Below are 23116 nucleotides of genomic sequence, written 5' to 3'. Positions count from 1 at the left end.
TAAATATCTAATATTTATAATAGGATAAAATGTAATATTAAAGAAAAAATCTGACAGTTATATATGATGTCTAGTCAGATAACTGCAAAATCTCACTGAGAGAAATAAAATAGACCATAAATAAATAGTAATATATGCCACGCCAGGTATTCTCCTTCTGAAATCTAAGTTTACCAAATTAGTGTTTGCACAGTGCCTCACACATTCCAGGTGCTTTAAAATGGTGAACTGAATTGTGCAAAGTATTTCATCATCAAGAAGAAGAGACTGAGTCACAGTTTCATGAAAGGTCCCAGTGAGGTCAGACTGTGGGATGCTGGGGAAGTTGAGCCTTGAGCTCCATCATATGCAACTGCAAATGGTGCCTCCACACCTGGTAGACAGGTGAGCCCAGCTAAACTCTGCTATTCTCACACTAGGAATGTGAATGCTTATGGGAATACAGAATTCACTCATTGGGAAACCTTACATGAATGTGAGTTTACAGCCCTAAAGTGAAGCCAATGGGCAACGATGGCTTGATCCCCAGCTGTATGGACTTAGGTATCCTTGTACTGTTACAAGACTACCGTGTGAATGCTCCCTGCAGAGTAACAGACCAAGACACTGAGACAGCAGGGTATGCAACAGAGAAAGAATTCAAAGATTGCAAGGTGCAGAGGGAGGAGATGGGAGGAGACCCTGAAGTCCATCTCCCTGAGGAGTTGTAGGCTGGAGATTTTTTCTTTTTTTTCTGAGACAGAGTCTTGCTCTGTTGCCCAGGCTGGAGTGCAGTGGCATGATCTCAGCTGACTGCAACCTCCGCCTCCCAGATTCAAGCAATTTTCCTGCCTCAGCCTCCCGTGTAGCTGGGATTACAGGCACACATCACCATAACTGGCTAATTTTTAGTAGAGGCAGGGTTTCACCATGTTGGCCAGGCTGGTCTCGAACTCCTGACCTCGTGATCTGCCTGCCTCGGCCTCCCAAAGTGCTGGGATTACAGACGTGAGCCACCGCACCCAGCCAGGCTGGAGTTTTAAAAGGGATCATGAACAGATCAGGACACCAAGAAAGCAGACTTTGCAGCAGATAAAAAACTCAATGCTTGCAAGGTGCAGAGCGAGGATATGGGAGGAGACCCTGAAGTCTGTCTCCCTGAGGAGTTCTGGGCTGGAGTTTTTAAAGGGATTATGAAGCACAAGGGGCTGGAAAATTGGGGTCATTAATTGGCTGGGGTAAGGGGGATGAAGCCATCTGGATGGGGAAACTGAAGTCTTTGGTGAGTCAGCTCCTGTGGGGTCCTTCAGCCCAGCTGGTGTCAGTATTATTTTTTTAAGCTATTATAAATATTAGATATCTATGGTGTCAGTAGCTGGCATGCAGGACCTGGAAGACTATCTCAAAGGGAAAACTAAATGTTTCCTGATGCTTAAGTTGTCACCTATAGAGCAGGGAAGGGGGACCGTAAGCTAGGATCTATGTGACTCTGGGACAATCAGCACCAAACAGCTATGAGGAAGCAGGTCAAAAAGAAAGCTTTTGGGAGGCCATGGTGGGTGGATTACCTGAGGTCAGGAGTTCCAGACCAGCCTGGCCAACATGGTGAAACCCCATCTCTACTGAAAATACAAAAATTAGGTGGGCATGGTGGCACATGCCTGTAATCTCAGCTACTCCGGAGGCTGAGGTAGGAGAATCACTTGAACCTGGGAGGCGGAGGTTGCAGTGAGCCCAGATCATGCCATTGCACTCCAGCCTGGGCAACAGAGTGACACTCTGTCTCCAAAAAACACAAAAAAAGAAAGAAAAAAAGAAAGCTGATTTCATGATGAATGCTGAGGGTTCTGCAGGCTTGGCCTATTTTCGTTTCTTCCCCTCCCTTCTTCCCTGGTTAATTTTATGGAGTTTATAGGGACTGGTTCAATACCCTCATTGACTGAGCCACCTCTTAGGCAATTGGCTGGAGAAGAAACTGAGGCACACAGAGGGAAGGTGGCGGAGCCAGGACCTCTGAGCTGCAGTGGCATGAATCAGGGTTCAGTCCTAGTCCCACCGTGTTTGTGTGTGTGTTTTGAGACAGAATTTTTGCTCCTGTCGCCCAGGCTGGAGTGCAATGGTGCCATCTCGGCTCACTGCAACCTCCACCTCCCAGGTTGAAGGGATTCTCCTGCCTCAGCCTCCCAAGTAGCTGGGACTACAGGCACCTGCCACCACGTCTGGCTGATATTTTGTATTTAGTAGAGATAGAGTTTCATCATGTTGGTCATGCTGATCTTGAACTGCTGATCTCAAGTGATCCACCCACCTCGGCCTCCCAGAGTGCTGAGATTACAGGCCTGAGCCACCACACCTGGGCCTTCCATGTATTTAATGGTGGCATGGATCCTAGCTGATTCTATGGTTATCTGCAGATATGTTGTTCCTGGGTCCTTGTTAGGCTGAACTGTAATCCCAGCACTTTGGGAGGCTGAGGCAGACGGATCACCAGGTCAGGAGTCTGAGACCAGCCTGGCCAACACAGTGAAACCCCATCGCTACTAAAAATACAAAAAATTAGCTGGGTGTGGTGGCGGGCACCTTGTCATCCCAGCTACTTGGGAGGCTGAGGCAGGAGAATCGCTTGAACCTGGGAGGTGGAGGTTGTGGTGAGCCAAGATCGTGCCACTGCACTCCTGCCTGGGGAACAGAACGAGACTCCTGTAATTAAAAAAAAAAAGAGCCAGACTCTGTCTCAAAAAATAAATAAATAAGCAAAAATTAAAAAAAGAGGAATTGTCATTCTATGTATAAAATGTTGGAAATGGAGAGTGGATTTGTCCTTAGCATTATTAAGATAAATTGCAGGGCTGAGATGGGGCAAATAAGAGAGGACCCAGAGATCCGGGTGTGGTGGTTCACGCCTATAATCCCACCATTTTGGGAGGCCGATGCCTGAGGATCACCTGAGGTCAGGAGTTCGAGACCAGCCTGGCCAACATGGTGAAGCTCTGTCTCTAATAAAAATACAAAAACTTAGCCAGGCGTGGTGGCGCGCGCCTGTCATCCCAGCTACTCGGGAGGCTGAGGCAGGAGAATCGCTTGAACCCGGGAGGCAGAGGTTGCAAAGCCAAGATTGCACCACTGCACTCCAGCCTGGGAAACAAGAGTGAAAAGCCGTCTCAAAAAAAAAAAAAAAAAAAAAGAGAGAGAGGACCCAGTGAGGTTTCTCAGGGTCCGTCTTGGAGGGTCCCAGTCGGCTCTGTGCAGCCCCGTCCTCCTGGCAGCCTCACGTACTCAGAAAACGGTCCAACAGTCCCAGGGGGACCCTCCCTACATCCCAGCCAGCCAGGCCTCTTGTGTCTGCAGTGTCCCCTTAACATAAATCTTGGTCCTGTAAAGCAGTCCACCTAAAGACGTCTCCGTGTGGTTTTTGAACACGGGAAGTTAATAATAAATATCATCTTTGTTTTCTAATTTTTTTTTTTTTTTTTTACTGAGTTGATTGAAATACCCGTGACAGCCCCAATCCAATCCTCGGGTGCAACGTGATACGGATGACAGGCGGTGTCTCTATGCAAACGTTCAGTTATGCAGAATCCAATGTTTTCTGGATTTTTAATTGAATCACTCGTCTCAAACTTGTTATTTTTAATTTACGACATTTGATTTCTGACACTGGCTTCTGCATCTCATCAATTATGCAGTCTGGAGACTCGGTTGCACGGGTGATTAAAAAAAAACTAATTAGGCAAGATTAAAATAAAAAAAAAAAAACCTAAAACAGAGACCTCTTAACTATGGACATGTTCCTGGGTAAAGGGAGGCTGATTTCACTGGAAATGCCTCATTTTCTTTGCAAGCGATTACGTTCGGTTTGGTACAATGTGATTGATTCTGACAGATGTGAAGGAACCCGGACTGTTTGCTTCCCCCTTCTCGAATATTCACCAGAAATTGCGTGACGCGGCCCGTTGATGTCAATTCCCCCCACAACTCATTGAATATAATTTTGTTAAGTGGGCAGGAAAAGGAAAATGAACAACGTGGAAGGGAACCCGGCGTTTTCTTTGGCAGCACGACGGGGTCGAGACAGGACTCTGTGCCCCACAGAGGAAACACAATTAGAGTTCCTGCCCTTTCAAGTCCTAGCTAATGACAGCAAAGAAGTAAAGTATAGGGGGAAAAAAAGTGCAACTTTTTGAAAAAAGGCCCTTCCTCATCCAGCAACGTGCAGGTTTTTTTTTTCTTTTTCTTTCTTTTTTTTTTTTAGACAGAGTCTGGCTCTGCCCCCCAGGCTGGAGTGCAGTGGTGCAATCTCGCTTCACTGCAACCTCCGCCTCCGAGGGTCAAGCGATCCTCCTGCCTCAGCCTCCCCAGTAGCTGGTGGTGGCGGGCGCCTGTAATCCCAGCTACTCGGGAGGCTTAGGCAGGAGGATCGCTTGAGCCTGGAAGGCGGAGGTTGCAGTGAGCAGAGATCATGTCACTGCACTCCAGCCTGGGGGACAGAGCAAGACTCCAATAAATAAATAAATAAAACTATCCAAATATGTATATTATATATAATTTAAATATATGTATACATTATATATAAATATATGTATACATTATATATAATTTAAATATATGTATACATTATATATAATTTAAATATATGTATACATTATATATAATTTAAATATATGTATACATTATATATAATTTAAATATATGTATACATTATATATAATTTAAATATATGTATACATTATATATAATTTAAATATATGTATATATTTTATATATATATATATATATTTCTTTATATATATATATATATATTTTTTGAGATGAGACCTTGCTCTGTTGCCAAGGCTGGAGGGCAGTGGCGTGATCTCGAGTCACTGCAACCTCTGCCTCCCAGGCTTAAGCAATCCTCCTGCCTCAGCCTCTCGAACAGCTGGGACCACACGCATGCACCACCATGCCCCACTAACTTTTGTATTTTTTAGAGTTGACGTCTCGCCATGCTGACCAGGCAAGGTGATGCACGCCTGTGGTCCCAGACACTCAGGAGCCTGGGGTGGGAGCATTGTTTGAGCCTGGGAGGCAGGGGCTGTAGTGAGCTGTGATTAAACCACTGTATTCCAGCCTGGGTGACAAAGTGAGACCTTGTCTCAAAAGGAAAAGAAGAAAAAAGGAAAGGAAAGGAAAGGAAGGGAAGGGGAGGGGAAAGGGAAGGGGAAGGGGAGGGGAGAGGAGGGGAAAGGAGGGGGAGAAGGCAGGGAAGGGGAGTGGACAGGGAAAGGGAGGAGAGGGGAGGGGAAGGGGAGGGGAAAAGGGAGGGGAGAGGGAGGGGAAGGGAGGGGAAGGGAGGGGAGAGGGGAAGGGGAGGGGAGAGGGGAAGGGGAGGGGAGAGGGAGGGGAGGGGAGAGGGAGAGGAGAGGAGGGGAAGGGAAGGGAGGGGAGAGGGGAAGGGAAGGGGAGGGGAGAGGAGGGGAGGGGAGAGGAGGGAAGGGGAGAGGAGGGAAGGGACGGGAAGGAAAGAAAAAAAAGAAATTGGAGAAAAGCATTAGGTTTTGGGACTGCAATTTCCAGCGGAGTTAATTCAACTTCTTTGACCAAATAACCAGCCACCCCGACCCCTGTCAATTAAACATCAGCCCCAGATTGCAAACCATTCTGAAGAATTTCGTTTACACACACACACACAGGCACAGTCACACACACATGCACACACACGTGCGTGCACACACACGTACACGCACACGCACACACATACACACACATACATGCATGCACACGCACACACACTCACATACATGCACACATGCACACTCACACATGTACATGCACATACACATGCACACACGCACACTCACACACATGCACGCACGCATGCACACACACATACATGCACACACGTATGTGCACACACATGCAACCTCACAGATTCATGCACACAGAATACATGCACACATACATACATGCACACCCATGCACGCACTCACATACATACATGCACACGTGCACGCATATGCACACTCACACACGTACATGCACATACACACATGCGTGCACACATGCACACACATGCGCGCACACACGAGCGCACACATACATGCACACACGCAACCTCACACACATTCATGCACACACATGCACAAACACACATGCGCATGCAGACACACACGTACCCACACATGCACAAGCTGAATGAGAATCCACCATCGTGTCATTATCGGGTTGATATTTATAGTTCCAAGCTCCAGGGGAAAGGCAGCATATGGAATATGGAGCAATCCTCCTGTAAAAGCTAATTTCTCAGCCTAATAGCTGGTCGCCGTGAAAGCCTTGAATTGCCGAAGGGGAATTAAGAAGTTAACTGCTGCCTGCCCTGATTTGTTGCGTTGCTTAAATTGCAAGGGGACCTCCGTTGCAACTCATGGATGGTGTGTCGGGTCTATGAAGGGGCCTAACCCCCAATTTCTCCCAAATTCCTGCCTAGATCCAAGGAACTTTTAGTCCATGCATGAGACTGTTGGAGAGGCTTTCCCTAAGAATTCCCGCAGAAGAGAAAGCATTCCTGGCAGAGAATTAGGCTCACCAAGTTCAGCCTGGTCTTCTCAAGAGACCACGATGCTGGCATGAGGAACATTTGACTTCTTTTTCATTTATTATTATTTTTTTTTGGAGAGGGAGTCTCGCTCTGTCACCCAGGCTGGAGTGCAGTGGCGTGATCTCTGCAACCTCCGCCTCCCGGGTTCAAGTGATTCTCCTGCCTCAGCCTCCGGAGTAGCTGGGATTACAGGCACACCACTACACCCTGCTAATTTTTATATTTTTAGTAGAGACGGGGTTTCACCATGTTGGCCAGGCTGGTCTTGAACTCCTGACCTCATGATCCTCCCGCCTCGCCTTCCCAAAGTGGTGGGATGACAGGCATGAGGCACCGCACCTGGCCAGAACATTTGACTTCTACCAGGCACGTTGGAAAGTGAACGCCGACCTCTCTGCATTCCCTGACTTATTTCCCCCAGAGTTTTCTTAGCTGGGAATCAGAAATGTGGCTTCCAACTTGATCCTTTCAAAGCTACAAACTCCAGCCAAACACACAGCATCAAGTCTTACTCATTACATCATTACAACCTTGGAACTGACACCGATAATTAGAAACGGGAAAAAAGAACAAATCTTTTTTTTTTTTTTTTTTTTTGAGACAGAGCCTCATTCTGTCAGCAGGCTGGAGTTCAGTGGCGCCATCTCGGCTCACTGCAACCGCCGCCTCCCAGGTTCAAGCGATTCTCCTGCCTCAGCCTCCCGAGTAGCTGGGATTACAGGAGTGAGCCACCACACCCCGCTAATTTTTGTATTTTTAGTAGAGACGGGGTGTCACCATGTTGGACAGCATGGTCTCGATCTCTTGACCTCATGATCCATCCACCTCAGCCTCCCAAAGCACTGGGATTACAGGCATCCACCACCACGCCCGGCTAATTTCTATATTTTTAGTAGAGATGGGGTTTCACCATGTCGGACAGTATGGTCTCCATCTCTTGACTTCATGATCTGTCTGCCTCAGCCTCCAAAAGCACTGGGATTACAGGCATCCACCATCATGCCCGGCTAATTTTTGTATTTTTAGTAGAGAAGGGGTTTCACCATGTTGGACAGTATGGTCTCGATCTCTTGACTTCATGTTCTGTCTGCCTCAGCCTCCAAAAGCACTGGGATTACAGGCATCCACCATCACGCCTGGCTAATTTTTGTATTTTTAGTAGAGATGGGGTTTCACCATGTTGAACAGCATGGTCTCGATCTCTTGACGTCATGATCCATCCACCTTGGCCTCCCAAAGCACTGGGATGACAGGCATCCACCACCATGCCCAGCTAATTTTTGTATTTTTAGTAGAGATGGGGTTTCACCATGTTGAACAGCATGGTCTCGATCTCTTGACCTCATGATCCATCCACCTTGGCCTCCCAAAGCACTGGGATGACAGGTATCCACCACCATGCCTGGCTAATTTCTGCATTTTTAGCAGAGATGGGGTTTCACCTTGTTGGACAGTACGGTCTCCATCTCTTGACTTCATGATCTGTCTGCCTCAGCCTCCAAAAGCACTGGGATTACAGGCGTGAGCCACCACGCTGGGCTAATCTTGAAAACTAGGCTCCTCATTGAGAGAGAAAAGGATTTTTCTGCATAGGAAGTTGGAGCCACGGTATGGAAGATTACCTTAAAATACTGCCATCTGCTTCACTAAAAACAAAAAAAAAACAAAAATCAATGACTTTCCGTTTCCTTCAAAAACATGTCTGTTGTGAACTGAATTGTGTTTCTTCAAAATATCTGTTAAGGTCCTAACTGTACATACCTGTGAACGTGGTGTTGTAGGAAATAGGGTCTTTGCAGATATTATGGACGTATAATGAGGAAAGACTGGAGCAGAGGGGATGCTCAATCCAATCAGTCGCGTCCTGGTAAAAAGAGGGAAGTTTCCATACACTTAGAGAGGAGAAGTCCACATAGAGACGGAGGCAGAGACTGGAGTGATGGGGCCACAAGCCCAGGGACGCCTGGAGCCCCCAGGAGCTGGGAGAGGCAGAAAGGACCCTCCCCTAGAGCCTCCAGAAGGAACTGAACACAATTCTAGTAGATTGAATGGTGATCCCTAAGAAACACGTTTATGTCCTGACTCATAGAACCTGTGAATGAAACCCTTCTTGAAAACAGAGTATTTGCAGATGTAATAAATTAAGGATATTGAGATGAGATCATCCTGGATTAGGGTGGATTCTAATTCCAATAACAAGTGTCCTTGTAAGAGACAGAAGAGGAGACACAGACACAGAGGAGAAGGCCACATGGAGATGGCAGCAGAGACTGGAGTGAAGCGGCCACAAGCCCAGGGATGCCTGGAGCCCCCAGGACCTGGGAGAGGCAGGAAGGACCCTCCCCTACAGCCTCCAGAGGGAAGATAATACAATTGTTTTGAATTGAACTACAGTCCCCCTAAAGGCTATCTCTACAGCCTAACTTCCAGAATATGTGAATGGCACGTTAATTGGATATAAGGTCTCTGCAAATGTAACTAAGTCAAGGATTTCTACATGAGATCATCCTGGAGTAGGGTGGGTCCTAAATGCAATGGCAGGTGTCTTTCTAAGAGACAGAAGAGGAGACACAGACACAGAGGAGAAGGCCACGTGGAGACGGAGGCAGAGACTGGAGTGATGCGGCCACAAGCCCAGGGACGCCTGGAGCCCCCAGGAGCTGGGAGAGGCAGGAAGGACCCTCCCCTAGAGCCTCCAGGAGGAACTAAACACAATCATAGTGGACCCAATACTGGCCTTCCTGGAGTCCAGAAGTCCTCCCTGTCTCTCCTCCATCTCCACGTGGCCTTCTCCTCCGTGTCTGTGTCTCCTCTTCTGTCTCTTAGAAAGACACCTGTCATTGCATTTAGGATCCACCTTACTTCAGGATGATCTCATGTTGAAATCCTTAACTACCTGCATCTGCAGAAACCCTATTTCCAAATAAGGTCCCGTTCACAGGCTATGAGACTGAGGATGTATATACAGTTTTTAGGAGGACTGTAGTTCAGGACGCGGAGAGATGAAATTTTTCTTGTTTGATCCTCTGGTTTTTGGCATCTTGTGACAGCATCCCCAGGAAACCCTTACAATATCTAAACCTTTTTCTTCTTCCAAGCGCTAGTCTGTCCGTTCCCTTCCCTTATCTGCCTCATCCCCTTGCCTCCGGAGTCCACCCTCATGGATCAGAGAGCAGAGAGTCAGGGCTCACGGCCTCAAGAGAGACACCCCCAAGCAGGGCCAATCCAATCCCCCACACTGCCCGTTTTCCAGCCCGTTACATTGCAGATGCCAGTTTGTGGTGAAAACATCCAGAACAGGTTTAGGCAGGAAGAGACGCAGCGTCTCAGCCCACCAGCCTACGGGAAGAAAGGGTGCTTGCAGCTGACCGTCTCATCTCTGCCTTGCTTTTCTGAGTCTGGGTTAAACTGCCACAGTGTCCGGAACCCGCTTACTCTGTCAACCCATCAGCAGCGATATGAGCTCACAGGAGCTTGTGGTTTCGTGCCCACACCCTTGAAATAGGTGCCCAAACTGCCATGCCCAAGATGTAGACGGGTAAGCTCCCTTTTACACCCCAAAGTCTCATTCTTTGAAGACCCCTCGTCAACAAGGATTACAATCTTTATATTTCCTGCACAAACCAGACATTAAAAAAAGAAGAAGAAAAAAACCCCACCAAAATGGCTCTTATTGATGACTGGAGAAATTCGAAACCCAGAGCAGCCCCTTTTAAAGTCAGTGGTGCCAAATCTATGAAAATGCAAAATCCTTTCCAGAATTTCACACACACACACATACACACTCTTCTCTAGGGACGTCGTTACAGGCTCATAAAAAGTCAAATTGCCATTCCCGCAGTGCTCCAATAATTTATACGTATCATTTGCTGTAGCGTCGGTGCGTTGGCCGGCTGACCTGACCACCTACGTACACACGGAGCCCTGGAACCCTCCACCCTGTCTTAGGAAGACAGGAATTTGCAATCAGAGGAGAGTTCCAAAGCCCAGTATCAATGTGGGTTTCTGAGTGAAAACACAAAAGCAAATGAATGCCTTCTCAAGAGCCAGCCCCCAAGTTTACAACCCAATCATCTCCTAGCTGGCCCAAGAAGCACCTAATGATAACTATATCTTTATCAAGGTGGTACATTTTCTGACTCTTACTGTCATCACAGAAAAATAATCGTGACCATCATACTCTGGGGACTGTGGTGGGGTGGGGGGACGGGGGAGGGATAGCATCGGGAGATACACCTAATGTTAAATGACGAGTTAATGGGTGCACCACACCAGCATGGCACATGGATACATATGTAACTAACCTGCACATTGTGCACCTGTACCCTAAAACTTAAAGTATAATAATAATAAAATAAAAAATAAAAAAATAAAAAAATAAAAAAAATGTCATATCTGCCTATTAAAAAGATTAGAAGCAAAAAATAATAATAATAATAATCGTGACGACGTCTCGGAAAAGACGGAGTTAATTTTGCTGAGGTTGACTTGGCTGTGTGGACATAAGACTCCTTTTCCTGCTTCAATCCTGGATTCTTTTTTTTTTTTTTTTTTTTGCTTCTAATCTTTTTAATAGGCAGATATGATATTTTTTTTTATTTTTTTATTTTTTTTTTACATTTTTTTTTCCCCATGAGGACGCCAAAGTTCAGGAGAAGTTGGCAACACAGCGAAACATTCATACCTCTGCAAAGCCCAGGTCTTTAGCCTGTGTGGCTGTTTCATAACTTTGCAACTGTTTGACCCGGCCTTTTTAACGACCGGCCATAAAACCCAAGCTAATTAGTGGCGGCAGGAAGCGGGCCCCACGTCTGGCCTCCCCACATTCTGGGGTGAGCCCGTGACTCCTGCTCACACTTTGCTGCAAACCCCACGTTTATCCCAAAGTCATTTGTCTTTACACCTCGGACCAGCCAAGGGCGAGAGTGGCTTAAAACAAGAGCGGCATCCAAGTAATTTTCCCATAGAGGGGGAAGCAAACAAAGGTCCCCATGATGGACGCTGCAAATCGGTGCTTCCTTGTAGAAATGGTCTATGGACATGTCTATGTAGAAACGGTCATTTTTTCCTTGAAAAATTAAATCTCAGAGCATTAGTTAACTTCTGCAATGAGCCCACACGCCTCATTCTTCTTTTTTCAGTTCTAAAACGGCAGGAAACCTACATTAAACTGTGTTGTGTGTCCATGTGTGTCTTGAGTGCGTGTGTTGTGTTTATGATGTGTTTGTGCGTGTGTCTCTTGTGTGTTGTGTGTCTGTTGAGCGTGTTGTGTGTGTGTCTGTTGTGTGTTGTGTATGTGTGTGTCTGTTGAGTGTGTTGTGTTGTGTATAGATGTGTGTGTCTTGTATATATGATGTGTTTGTGCGTGTCTCTTGTGTGTTGTGTGTGTTGAGCGTGTTGTGTGTCTGTTGTGTGTTGTGTATGTGTGTGTCTGTTGATTGTGTTGTGTATAGATGTGTGTGTCTTGTATATATGATGTGTTTGTGCGTGTGTCTGTGTGTTGTGTGTCTGTTGAGCGTGTTGTGTATGTGTCTGTTGTGTGTTGTGTATGTGTGTGTCTGTTGAGTGTGTTGTGTTGTGTATAGATGTGTGTGTCTTGTATATATGATGTGTTTGTGCGTGTGTCTCTTGTGTGTTGTGTGTCTGTTGAGCGTGTTGTGTGTGTGTCTGTTGTGTGTTGTGTATGTGTGTGTCTGTTGAGTGTGTTGTGTTGTGTATAGATGTGTGTGTCTTGTATATATGATGTGTTTGTGCGTGTCTCTTGTGTGTTGTGTGTCTGTTGAGCATGTTATGTTGTGTGTGTGTCTGTTGTTTCTGTGTCTGTTCAGTGTGTTGTGTTGTGTATAGATGTGTGTGTCTTCTATATATGATGTGTTTGTGCATTTGTCTGTTGAATGTGTGTTGCGTATTAGTGTCTGTTGATCCCATGTGTGGTATTGTGTATATACATGTGTGTTCTGTATAGATGTTGTGTCTTGCGTGTGTGTCTGTTAAGCATGTGTGGTATTGTGTATATACATGGGTGTTGTGGATAGATGTTATTTCTTGATTGTGTGTTTGTGTGTGTCTGTTGTGTGTATACGTGTGTTCTCTATAGATGTGTCTTGACTGTGTTGTGTGTGTGTCTGTTGATTGTGTGTGGCATTGTGTATACACATATGTGTTGTGTATAGATGTTGTGTCTTCAGTGTGTCTTGTGGGTGTGTCTGTTAAGCATGTGTGGTATTGTGTATATACATGTGTGTTGTGTATAGATGTTGCTTCTTGACTGTGTGTTGTGTGTGTGTGTCTGTTGTGTATATACACGTGTGTTCTATGTAGATGTGTCTTGAGTGTATGTTGTGTGTGTGTGTTGATCGTGTGTGGCATTATTTATATATATGTGTGTCGTGTACAGCCGTTGTGTCTTGAGTGTGTGTTGTATGTGTATGATATGTTTGTGTCTGTTGACTGTGTGTTGTGTATGCGTGCGTGTGTCTGTTGAGCGTGCTGTGTTGTGTCTATACATGTACGTTGTCTAAAGGTGTGTGTGTGTGTCTTGAGTGTCTGTGTTGTGTATGGATCTGTGTTTGCACCTCGGACCAACCAAGGGGGAAAGTGGGTTGAAGCAAGATTGGTATTGGCCGGGCGCGGTGGCTCACGCCTGTCATCCCAGCACTTTGGGAGGCCGAGGCGGGTGGATCACGAGGTCAGGAGATCGAGACCATCCTGGCTAACACGGTGAAACCCCGTCTCTACTAAAAATACAAAAAAATAGCCTGGCGTGGTGGCACACGCCTGTCATCCCAGCACTTTGGGAGGCTGAGACGGGCAGATCACCTGAGGTTAGGGGTTCGAGACCAGCCTGCCCAACATGATGAAACCCCGTCTCTCTACTAAAAATACAAAAAATTAGCCAGGCAGGGTGGCGGGTGCCTGTCATCCCAGCTACTCGGGAGGCGGAGGCAGGAGCATCACTTGAACCCGGGAGGCGGAGGTTGCAGCGAGCCGAGATCGTGCCACTGCACTCCAGCCTGGGCTGCAGAGCGAGACTCTATCTCACACACACACAAAAAGGCTGTGGGGAGGCAGATAATTTGTAACAATTCAATCCTGCAGCTTTCCACCTGCAAAAGCACCGCATGGTATTTGATGAACCTTTTTTTTTTTTTTTTTTTTTTTTTTCCCAGACGGTGCCTCGCTCTTTTGCCCAGGCTGGAGTGCAGTGGCACAATTTTGGCTCACTGCAACCTCCGCTTCCCGGGTTCAAGTGATTCTCCTGCCTCAGCCTCGCGAGTAGCTGGGATGACAGGCACCCGCCACCACGCCTGGCTCATTTTTGTATTTTTAGTAGAGATGGGGTTTCGCCATGTTGGTCAGGCTGGTCATAATTAACGTCTTGTTGGGTTTAACTCGAAATGCAAAAACGTCGAGTCTGTACAGCCTATATTTGTAGGTTTATTGCAGTTCACTTCCTTTGGCTGCTAGACCACACGTAATTCATGGCAAACTCTAGGAGGAAAAGAAAAAGAGAGAAAGAGAGAAAAAACAAAAACAAAAACAAAAACAGAGTTTCCACCATTCCATCATTCCCCTTCTTTATTCATTCTGTTTGGTGCCTTAAAAAAATCATTAAAGAAAACATATATAAAATGTAGATTTACTGTTGACGTTTTTAATTTGGACTCAAGACACTCATCTGTTGAGCACACGCTGGAGTGAAAGACACCGTCTGCTGTAACTTAAAGTGTCTGGGCCGGGCGCAGTGGCTCACGCCTGTCATCCCAGCACTTTGGGAGGCCGAGGCGGGTGGATCACGAGGTCAGGAGATCGAGACCATCCTGGCTAACACGGTGAAACCCCATCTCTACTAAAAACACAAAAAAATTAGCCGGGCGTGGGGGCAGGTGCCTGTAGTCCCAGCTACTCAGGAGGCTGAGGCAGGAGAGTGGCTTGAACCCGGGAGGCGGAGCTTGCAGTGAGCCGAGATCGCGCCACTGCACTCCAGCCTGGGCCACAGAGCAAGACTCCATCTCAAAAAAAAAAAAAAAAAAAAAAAAAAAGCCATCGTACCCGGCCAGGAAAAGAGTTTAAATGCTTTTGGAGTTACAGGGGAAGGAAGCTGAGCTTGTGTCCAAAGGCATGGAGGGCCCTTTCTCGGGGGCTGGAAAGCATCTCTCTCTGTGCAGAGTGACAGGTGACAACATCATCTTTCACCACAGAGCCCAGGAAAAGCTGATTCTGAGAGTTAGTACGATGTTGCCTGTTATGAAAATGAAACCAAAATGATCCTACATAGGAGTGATCTTTTTGGGTTTAGGGTTGGTAACACCCATCTACACCGGGGCTTAAAATGTGTGGGTCCTAGGCTGGGCGCGGTGGTTCACACCTGGAATCCCAGCACTTTGGGAGGCCGAGGCAGGTGGATTATCTGAGGTCAGGAGTTCGAGACCAGCCTGGTCAACATGGTGAAATCCCATCTCCACTAAAAATACAAAAATTAGCCGGGCGTGGTGGCGTGCACCTGTAGTCCCAGCTACTCGGGAGGGTGAGGCAGGAGGATTTCTTGAACCTGGGAGGTGGAGGTTGCAGTGAGCTGAGATGGCACCATTGCACTCCAGCCTGGGTCCATCTCAAAAAAAAAAAAAAAGGGATGAAACATCTGATCCAAAAGAGATTGGGTCTGCCGGGCGCGCTGGCTGACGCCTGTAATCCCAGCACTTTGGGAGGCCGAGGTGGGTGGACCACAAGATCAGGAGATCGAGACCATCCTGGCTAACACAGTGAAACCCCGTCTCTACTACAAAAAAAATACAAAAAATTAGCCGGGCGTGGTGGCGGGCGCCTGTAGTCCAAGCTCTCGGGAGGCTGAGGCATACCCGGGAATGGCGTGAACCCGGGTGGTGGAGCTTGCAGTGAGCCGAGATCACGCCACTGCACTCCAGCCTGGGCGACAGAGTGAAAGTCCATCTCAAAAAATAATAATAATAATAATAAAAGGGATGAAGTATCCGAGAAATACCAAAAGAGGTTCACCTAGACTACCAAAAGAGATTGGGTAAAGAAAACCCAAAACACACACACACACACACACACACACACACACACACGCACACAGAGAGAGGGAATTGGAGAATGCGGTTTGTTAAAATGAGGTTTCTGAGAGACCCAAATTGCAGGTGTGCGAGGACCTGACAGTGGTTACGATTTCCCGACTGTGTCTGTGTTCCGGGGTCTGACCCTGCCTGGGGCCACCCTCAGGAGGAAGGAGGTCATTTTCATCCCAAATGTTCACTTTCTTTGATGATTGCATTTTCCTCCTTTCCACGATGAGGAATCCACAGACTAAAGAGTTAATATGTGTTAAACTGTGAGTTGCAACTTCCTCTGACTTTCTTCCCAGCTGGATTTCAGAGCACTGTTCCAGAATCTTACCTGACGCCCATGAATTGTGCATACGGGTCCGCCCCCTGGGACACACGATGTCTCCTTGCTGTTTAGGCAAAAAGACAACCATATGCTGTGTGCACTGCCTGAACCCCTTGGATAGGAGTCCTGGGCGGACGACGAGTTATTTGGGGATTGAAGTGTTTCCATTTGGGAGGAGTCCATTTAAGAAAAAAAAAAAAGAATGCAAAATCACAGAAGTGACTGTGTGTCCTTGTACACGGGGGCTTGAAATGTGGGTCCTGGCTGTGGACTGTGTGTCTGTCTACACCGGGGGTTAAATATGGGTCCTGCCTGTGGACTGTGTGTCTGTCTACACCGGGGGTTAAATGTGGGTCCTGCCTGTGGACTGTGTGTCTGTCTACACCGGGGGTTAAATGTGGGTCCTGCCTGTGGACTGTGTGTCCATCTATACGGGGGCTTGAAATGTGGGTCCTGGCTGTGGACTGTGTGTCTGTCTACACGGGGGCTTCAAATGTGGGTCCTGGCTGTGGGCTCTGTCTAGGGAATGTCTATGGAATGTATTGTTCATCCGAGATGGGGTACAGAAACAGAAAGGGCCAGCAGTCTCAACTCTTACCAGGAGGCCGGCCAAATACCTTCTGCAAATGTCACAGAAAAATATGTGACTCCATGAACACACAGCTTGGGCCCTTCCCCACGTCGGGAACGCAGCTCTTGTTTCTTTCTGACCTGCTCACTCAGGGCGAAGCTTCCTGTCCTGGTGGTGGAGATAAACCTCCTTCTGTCAGGCTGGAGTTTTCTTCTGGGATTCCCGGAGCAGGAGGGACGTCTTTTCCTCTACGTTCCGAGCAAAGTTCAGAGGGGTTGTGGGAGGACAGAGCTGGGGTAGTGTCTGATACTCGAATAAGATATCCTTCTTCTTGATTCTATATCACCCTTCATGTGTCTTCACAATATTAAAGACAGGGGCAGGTGATTCTCCTGCCTCAGCCTCCCAAGTAGCTGGGATTACAGGTGCCCGCCACCACGCCCGGCTAATTTTTGTATTATTAGTACAGATGGGGTTTCACCATGTTGGACAGACTCATCTCGAACTCCTGACCTCAAGTAACCCGCCCGCCTTGGCCTCCCAAAGTGCTGGGATTACAGGCGTAATCTCACCCCATCCACTGTGGGTGGGGATGTAAATTCGTGCAACCGCAATGGGGAGCAATTTGGAGGTTCCCTTACAAATCGAGCTATCGTAATTGGGGAGGCCGAGGCAGGCAGATCACCTGAGGCCAGGAGTTCGAGACCAGCCTGGCCAACATGGTGAGACCCCGTTTCTACTAAAAATATATTAAAAAAAAAATTAGCCAGGAGTGTCGGCTGGTGCCTTAATCCAGCTACTGGGGAGGCTGAGGCAGGAGAATCACTTGAACCCGGGAGGTGGAGGTTGCGGTAAGCCGAGATCCCATCACTGCTCTCCAGGCTGGGCAACAGAGTGAGACTCCGTCTCAAAATAATAATAATAACAATAAATAAAATAAAATAGAGCTACCATAGAATTCAGCAATCATACTCACTGATGGGCATACACCCTCAATAAAAGAAGTCAGTATATTGAAGTTTAGGAGGCCGAGGCTTGTGGATCGCCTGAGGTCAGGAGTTGGAGACCAGCCTGGCCAACATGGTGAAACCCCGTCTCTACTAAAAATACAAAAAAGTAGGATTACTGAATTCTATGGTAGCTCTATTTTATTTTATTTTATTTTATTTTATTTTGAGATACCTGCAATCTCATAGTATATTGCAGCACTGTTCCCAAGAGCTGAGATTGGGAAACAACGTAAGTGTTCATCAACAGGTGAATGGATAAAGAAAATGAGCCGGGCGAGGGGGCTCACGCTTGTAATCCCAGCACTTTGGGAGGCCGAGGCAGATGGATCACTTGAGGTCAGGAGTTCGAGACCAGCCTGGCCAACACAGTGGAAACCTGTCTCTCATAAAAATACAAAAATGAGCCGGGCGTGGTGGCGGGTGCCCGTAATCCCAGCTACTTGGGAGGCTGAGGCAGGAGAATCGCTTGAACCTGGGAGGCAGAGGTTGCAGTGAGCTGAGATCACGCCACTGCACTCCCGCCTGAGTCACAGAGAGAGACTGCTCAAAAAAAAAAAAAAAAAAAAAAAAAAAAGAAGAAGAAGAAGAAAAGGCCGGGCAGGGTGGCTCACGCCTGTAATCCCAGCACTTTGGTAGGCCGAAGAGGGCAGATCACAAGGTCAAGAGATCGAGACCATCCTGGCTAACACGGTGAAGCCCCATCTCTACTAAAAATAGAAAAATCAGCTAGGCATGGTGGTGGGCGCCTGTCATTCCAGCTATTCCGGACGCTGAGGCAGGAGAATCGCTTGAATCTGGGAGACAGAGGTTGCAGTGAGCCGAGATCGCACCACTGCACTCCACCCTGGGTGACAGAGCGAGACTCTGTCAAAAAAAAAAAAAGAGAGGAGAGAGAGAGAGAGACAGAAAGAAAGAAAGGAAGGAAGGAAGAAAGGAAGGAAGAAAGAAAGAAAGAGAAAGGAAGGAAGGAAGAAAGAAAGAAAGAGAAAGAAAGAAAGAAAGAAAAAGAAAGAAAGAATGAAAGAAAGAAAAAGAAAGAAAGAAGAGAAAAGTGTTACACATATGGAATGGAATACTATTCAGCCATGAAAAAGAATGAGATCTTGCCATTTGCAATAAAACGGATGGTCATTATGTTCAGTGAAATAAGCCAGGCACAGAAAGACAAACTCTTCATGTTCTCACTTATTTGCAGGAGCTAAAATTGAAAACAATTGAACTCATGGAAATAGAAGAGTAGAAGGCTGGTTCTCAGAGGCTGAGAAAGATAGTGGGGAGTTTGTGTGGAAGAGGTGGGGAAGGTTAATGTGTACCAACAAATAATTAGAAAGAATAAATAAATCCTAGTTTTTGCTAGCATAACAGGGTGAGTATCATCAATAATCACTTCATCGTACATTTGTAAATAACTAAACGAGCATAATTGAATTGTAACACAAAGCCTCAATGCTTGAGTTCATGGATATCTTATTTACCCTAATGTGATTACTGCATATTGCATGTGGGCATGAAAACGTCTCACCTACCCCGTAACTATATACACCTACTATGTACTTGCAGTAATTAAAAAAATGAATAAAGACAGGAGTAGAGCAGGGGAGAATCCAATGAATAATTTGTCCCCACATTTATCAAAGGAGGTAAAGAGATAGAAACAGGGAAGACTTCCTGGGGGTTGACCATGGAGGGGGAAAAAAAATTCAATATTTCATTCACTTCCTTTAAAAAAAAATCAATGTAAAATTTCTTTTCTTTTCTTTTTCTTTTCTTTTATCTCCTCTTCTTCTTTTTTTCTTTTCTTCTTTTCTTTTCTCCCTTCCCTTCCTTTCCCTTCCCTTCCCTTCTCTTCCCTTCCCTTCTTTTGCCTTCCCTTCTTTTCTCTTCCTTCCCTTCCCTTCCCTTCCTTTTGTTTTCTTCCCTTCCCTTCCCTTCCTTTTGTTTTCTTCTCTTCCCTTCCCTTTTTTCTTTTCTTCTCTTTTCCTCTTGCTGGTAGCCAGCAACATATGTGAGACTTTGGTTACACCAAGAGATGAAACTCTGTGTTCCCTCAAACAAAAACCACCCAAACAGAGTTGGAGACTTTGTGGGTCCCAAGGTGGGGAGGTGAAGGAGTTATGGGGTTACAGAAGAACAGTGATAGGACGGGATTTTTTTTAGGAGATTTTCCCCAATCAGGGGTAGAGTAAGCTGTGTTTGTTTTGTGCTACACCTGCCTTGGGGAAGTAGGAGATCATGGAGGTCACCCTGGTCTCCCAAACTGGAGAGCCCACCCCAAAATCTACATCAGTAAGACGCACACCATCTCCACCATTTCTTAGAGTGTGGCTTGCAGCGACTGAGGTATGTGGGGGCGAATTAGACTCTTTACCTCATTATTTAGTGCTGTATTTGTGAGACGATACGCAATGCCGCTATTATTTTCAAGATGAAGAAAGTCACCGTGCATAGCAACCACCAGGAATCCGAAGGAGTTGCTATTCCTGCCTTCCACACACCCGGCTCTGTTTTCTGATGCCCACCCTGATTCTTGGGAGCCTATATTCCAGTCCACCACACGTTGCCCCATGACCACAAATTTAATTTTCCATAAATAAATCAATGTAAAATTTCTTTTCTTTTCTTCCTTTCTCTTCCCTTTCTTTTCTTTTCCTGTCTTTTCTTTTATCTTCTTTTCTTTTCTTTTTCTTCATTCTTTTCTTTTCTTCCTTTCCCTTCCCTTCCCTTCCCTTTCCTTCCCTTCCCTTCCTTCTCTTCCCTTCCCCTCCCTTCTCTTCTCTTCTCTTCTTCTCTTCTCTTCTCTTCTCTTCTCTTCTCTTCTCTTTTCTTTTCTTTTTTTTTCTTTTCTTCTTTTCCCATCTTGCTGGGAGCCAGCAACATATGTGAGACTTTGGATACACCAGAAGATGAAACTCTGTGTTCCTCCAAAGAAAAACCACCCAAGCACAGTTGAAGACCTTACGGGTCCCATGGGGACCATGAAGGAAAATTTATGGAAAATTAAGGTATTTTCCACTGATCTGTGTAGATATCTGCCATTTCATCGTTAAAAATTACAGCTTTGCATTCCAGAGCGCGGGCTCGTGGTAACAAGTCATTCCTATGCACTTCCTGCCTCTCATCCCAATTATAATTCAAATATAAATGCAGCCTGAGACTTATATGGAATAATTATTTTATGAATTATCAGCCATTGTGGCTTCAAGGTTTTTGTTTGTTTGTTTTGTGTTTTCGTTTTTGTTTTTCTGAGAAATTCATGCCGATAGAACCCTGGGAATAAAAATAAAATAAAACTCCATATTGTGAGTAAATAACCGACTCTCTTCTCTCATCTAGACTCTAAGAGCCTTCCCCACGGCCACTTCTAAATTAATTGCTCTTACTCTCCCTCCAGTTTTTGCTTTTCCTGGGTAGAAGGTAGATTAATATGCAACACGTCTGGCTTCTGTAATCCAAGCCTGCATTGCTTTGTCATCCTGAAAAGGATCCGGCCATGACTCAGTGGCCTGTAATCTTCCACTTTGGAGACCCCTCGGGAGGCAGAGAGATTTGTACAGGCATGGAGAGGAACTCCAAAAACCACAGGGGCCATTCAAAAAGCAGACATGCAACTTACAGAACATCGTAAAGTTATAATTCCTAAAACAAGCCTAGTGAAAAAAAAAAAAAAGAAATCCAGTTCTGTCTACTCCAATTCATATAACTCATAATGCTTTTTTTTTTTTTAATTTGAAAACTTTGGACTATTATTTGGAAAGGCCGATGTGACCCCACTTGATTGATTTCAACATTGATCGCTACGAATCAGGAAAAAGAATTAAGCGTTTTTCCTACAAGCTCATTTCTCAACGCCACAAGGGATTTGGAAAGGAACTGCTTTAAGATGTCAGAAGAATACTCAAGGACATTTATCTCAAATGCCTGTATTTAAAAATTGCATTAAAAAATAGGTTTCGAATTCTATGGTGAGCTATAATATCATCCAGTGATTTCTGCCACAGTAATACGACCACGTGTACCCTGGTCAGTAATCTGAGAGTCAGCGGGATGAATAACTGCCTGGATGTGACAGCGTCTGTTTAAAACGGCTCACACTGTTTCTTGAAATGTTTCTACAGTGGAAATCTTGCCTGTCTTGGAGAACTGCAAAGTCACTTTATTATTATTAATTATTATTATTATTATTATACTTTAAGTTGTGTGAGATACATGTGCAGAACGTGCAGGTTTGTTACATAGGTATACACGTGCCATGGTGGTTTGCTGCACCCATCGACCCGTCATCTACATTAGGTATTTGTCCTAATGCTATCCCTTCCCTAACCCTCCACCCCCCAGCAAGCCCTGGTGTGTGATGTTCCCCTCCCTGTGTCCATGTGTTCTCATTGTTCAACTTCCACTGATGAGTGAGAACATGCGGTGTTTGGTTTTCTGTTCCTGTGATAGTTTGCTGAGAATGATGGTTTCCAGCTTCATCCATGTCCCTGCAAAGGACATGAACTCATCCTTTTTGATGGCTGCATAGTATTCCATGGTGTCTATGTGCCACATTTTCTTTATCCAGTCTATCATTGATGGACATTTGGGTTGGTTCCAAGTCTTTAATATTGTGAATAGTGCTGCAATAAACATACGTGTGCATGTGTCTTTATAGTAGAATGATTTATAATCCTTTGGGTATATACCCAGTAATGGGATTGCTGGGTCAAATGGCATTTCTGGTTCTAGATCCTTGAAAAAGTCACTTTTTAAGAGCTTTGACTCTGTCCATTTTACCCACCCCAGCTAAAATGTATAACATTTATTTTTGGGGATTCAGAAATGATAGTCAATTATCAGCCAGAGAAAACCTTAATCCAAAATGCAAAAGGGTCATGGATGATGTTTTCAAAATCCAGAGTTTACAAAACTCACATGTGCTTCCTCTTACACAAGCAGGTGCCCCCAACCCCCATCAGCCTGATTTTTTAAAAACACTTTAAAATATGGGATGTTTTTGTTGGGCAGTCATTGAACTTTTGTTTGAGTACATCCTGGTTCACTGTCAGTTAAACGCACGGCAAGTCCAACAGAAATGCATTCCTGAAAGATGCGGCTGGACTCTGTGAAGATTTGCACCACTCTAGGAGGTTGAGGCAGGAGGATTGCTTGAGGCCAGGAATTCGACACCAGCCTGAGCTACAAAGTGAGACCCCATTTCTACAAAAACTGGAAAAAAAGTAGTGGGGCATGGTGGCGTGTGTCTGTGGCCCCAGCTACTCTGGAGTCTGAGGTGGAAGGTTTCCTTGAGCCTGGGAGTTTGAGGCTGCAGTGAGCTGTGTTTGCACCACTACACTCTGGTCTGAATGACAGAGTGAGATCCTGTGAAAGAGAGAAAGAAAGGAAGAAAAGGAGGGAGGGACAGAGGAAGGAAGGAAGAAAGGAAGGAAAAGAAGAAAGAAGGAAAGAAAGAAAGAGAAGAAAGGAAAAGAAAGAAAGAGGAAAGAAAGAAAGAAGGAAGAGAAAGGAAGGGAAGGAAGGAAGGAAAGGAGGGAGGGAGGGATAGAAAAAGAAAAAAGAAGAGAGAAAGAGAAA

The 23116-nt window shown here is 45.8% G+C and overlaps 10 annotated features.

Moving 5' to 3' along the window:
* Positions 3185-21980: an enhancer, noted in NCBI's record as "18796 nt extended CNE9 fragment from 19kbCNE9-betalacZ transgene". NCBI's record gives its function as "enhancer in mouse E13.5 embryo fore and hind limbs, mostly restricted to the zeugopodium, also weakly in hindbrain, and in E13.5-14.5 radius and ulna mesenchyme" and the evidence as "EXISTENCE:transgenic organism evidence [ECO:0001131][PMID:23575226]".
* Positions 3311-4143: an enhancer, noted in NCBI's record as "CNE9 PCR-amplified transgene fragment". NCBI's record gives its function as "enhancer in day 2 and day 3 zebrafish embryo eye, fin and blood" and the evidence as "EXISTENCE:transgenic organism evidence [ECO:0001131][PMID:21731768]".
* Positions 3315-4139: an enhancer, noted in NCBI's record as "CNE9 fragment from short CNE9-betalacZ transgene". NCBI's record gives its function as "enhancer in mouse E12.5 neural tissues, including hindbrain and neural tube" and the evidence as "EXISTENCE:transgenic organism evidence [ECO:0001131][PMID:23575226]".
* Positions 3316-4137: an enhancer, noted in NCBI's record as "CNE9 or ECS4 reporter construct fragment". NCBI's record gives its function as "enhancer in ovo in chicken limb buds, and in human U2OS osteosarcoma cells" and the evidence as "EXISTENCE:reporter gene assay evidence [ECO:0000049][PMID:16385461, PMID:17200153, PMID:22791839, PMID:26631348]".
* Positions 3449-3493: a conserved region, noted in NCBI's record as "conserved region; CRCNE00011105 more deeply conserved sub-region". NCBI's record gives the evidence for it as "EXISTENCE:sequence alignment evidence [ECO:0000200][PMID:21731768]".
* Positions 3544-3692: a conserved region, noted in NCBI's record as "conserved region; CRCNE00011104 more deeply conserved sub-region". NCBI's record gives the evidence for it as "EXISTENCE:sequence alignment evidence [ECO:0000200][PMID:21731768]".
* Positions 10218-11243: a meiotic recombination region, noted in NCBI's record as "meiotic double-strand break mapped by DNA meiotic recombinase 1 chromatin immunoprecipitation followed by single-stranded DNA enrichment and sequencing on the Y chromosome in the germ cells of some male individuals with the PRDM9 A/A genotype". NCBI's record gives the evidence for it as "EXISTENCE:chromatin immunoprecipitation-seq evidence [ECO:0000229][PMID:25395542]".
* Positions 10726-10901: a mobile genetic element, noted in NCBI's record as "direction; reverse".
* Positions 10757-10769: a nucleotide motif, noted in NCBI's record as "nucleotide motif; similarity to the predicted 13-mer PRDM9 A binding motif (LD hotspot motif), CCNCCNTNNCCNC".
* Positions 10790-10791: a chromosome breakpoint, noted in NCBI's record as "proximal breakpoint sub-region, recombines with the distal breakpoint sub-region within the SHOX downstream enhancer, distal recombination region, resulting in a recurrent 47.5 kb deletion". NCBI's record gives the evidence for it as "EXISTENCE:nucleotide sequencing assay evidence [ECO:0000219][PMID:22791839]".

This window comes from Homo sapiens, chromosome X, assembly GCF_000001405.40.
Source record: "Homo sapiens chromosome X, GRCh38.p14 Primary Assembly".
Taxonomy (NCBI): domain Eukaryota; kingdom Metazoa; phylum Chordata; class Mammalia; order Primates; family Hominidae; genus Homo; species Homo sapiens.
Note: the sequence above shows the minus strand (reverse complement) of the source record. Positions and strands in the feature narration are given on the sequence as shown.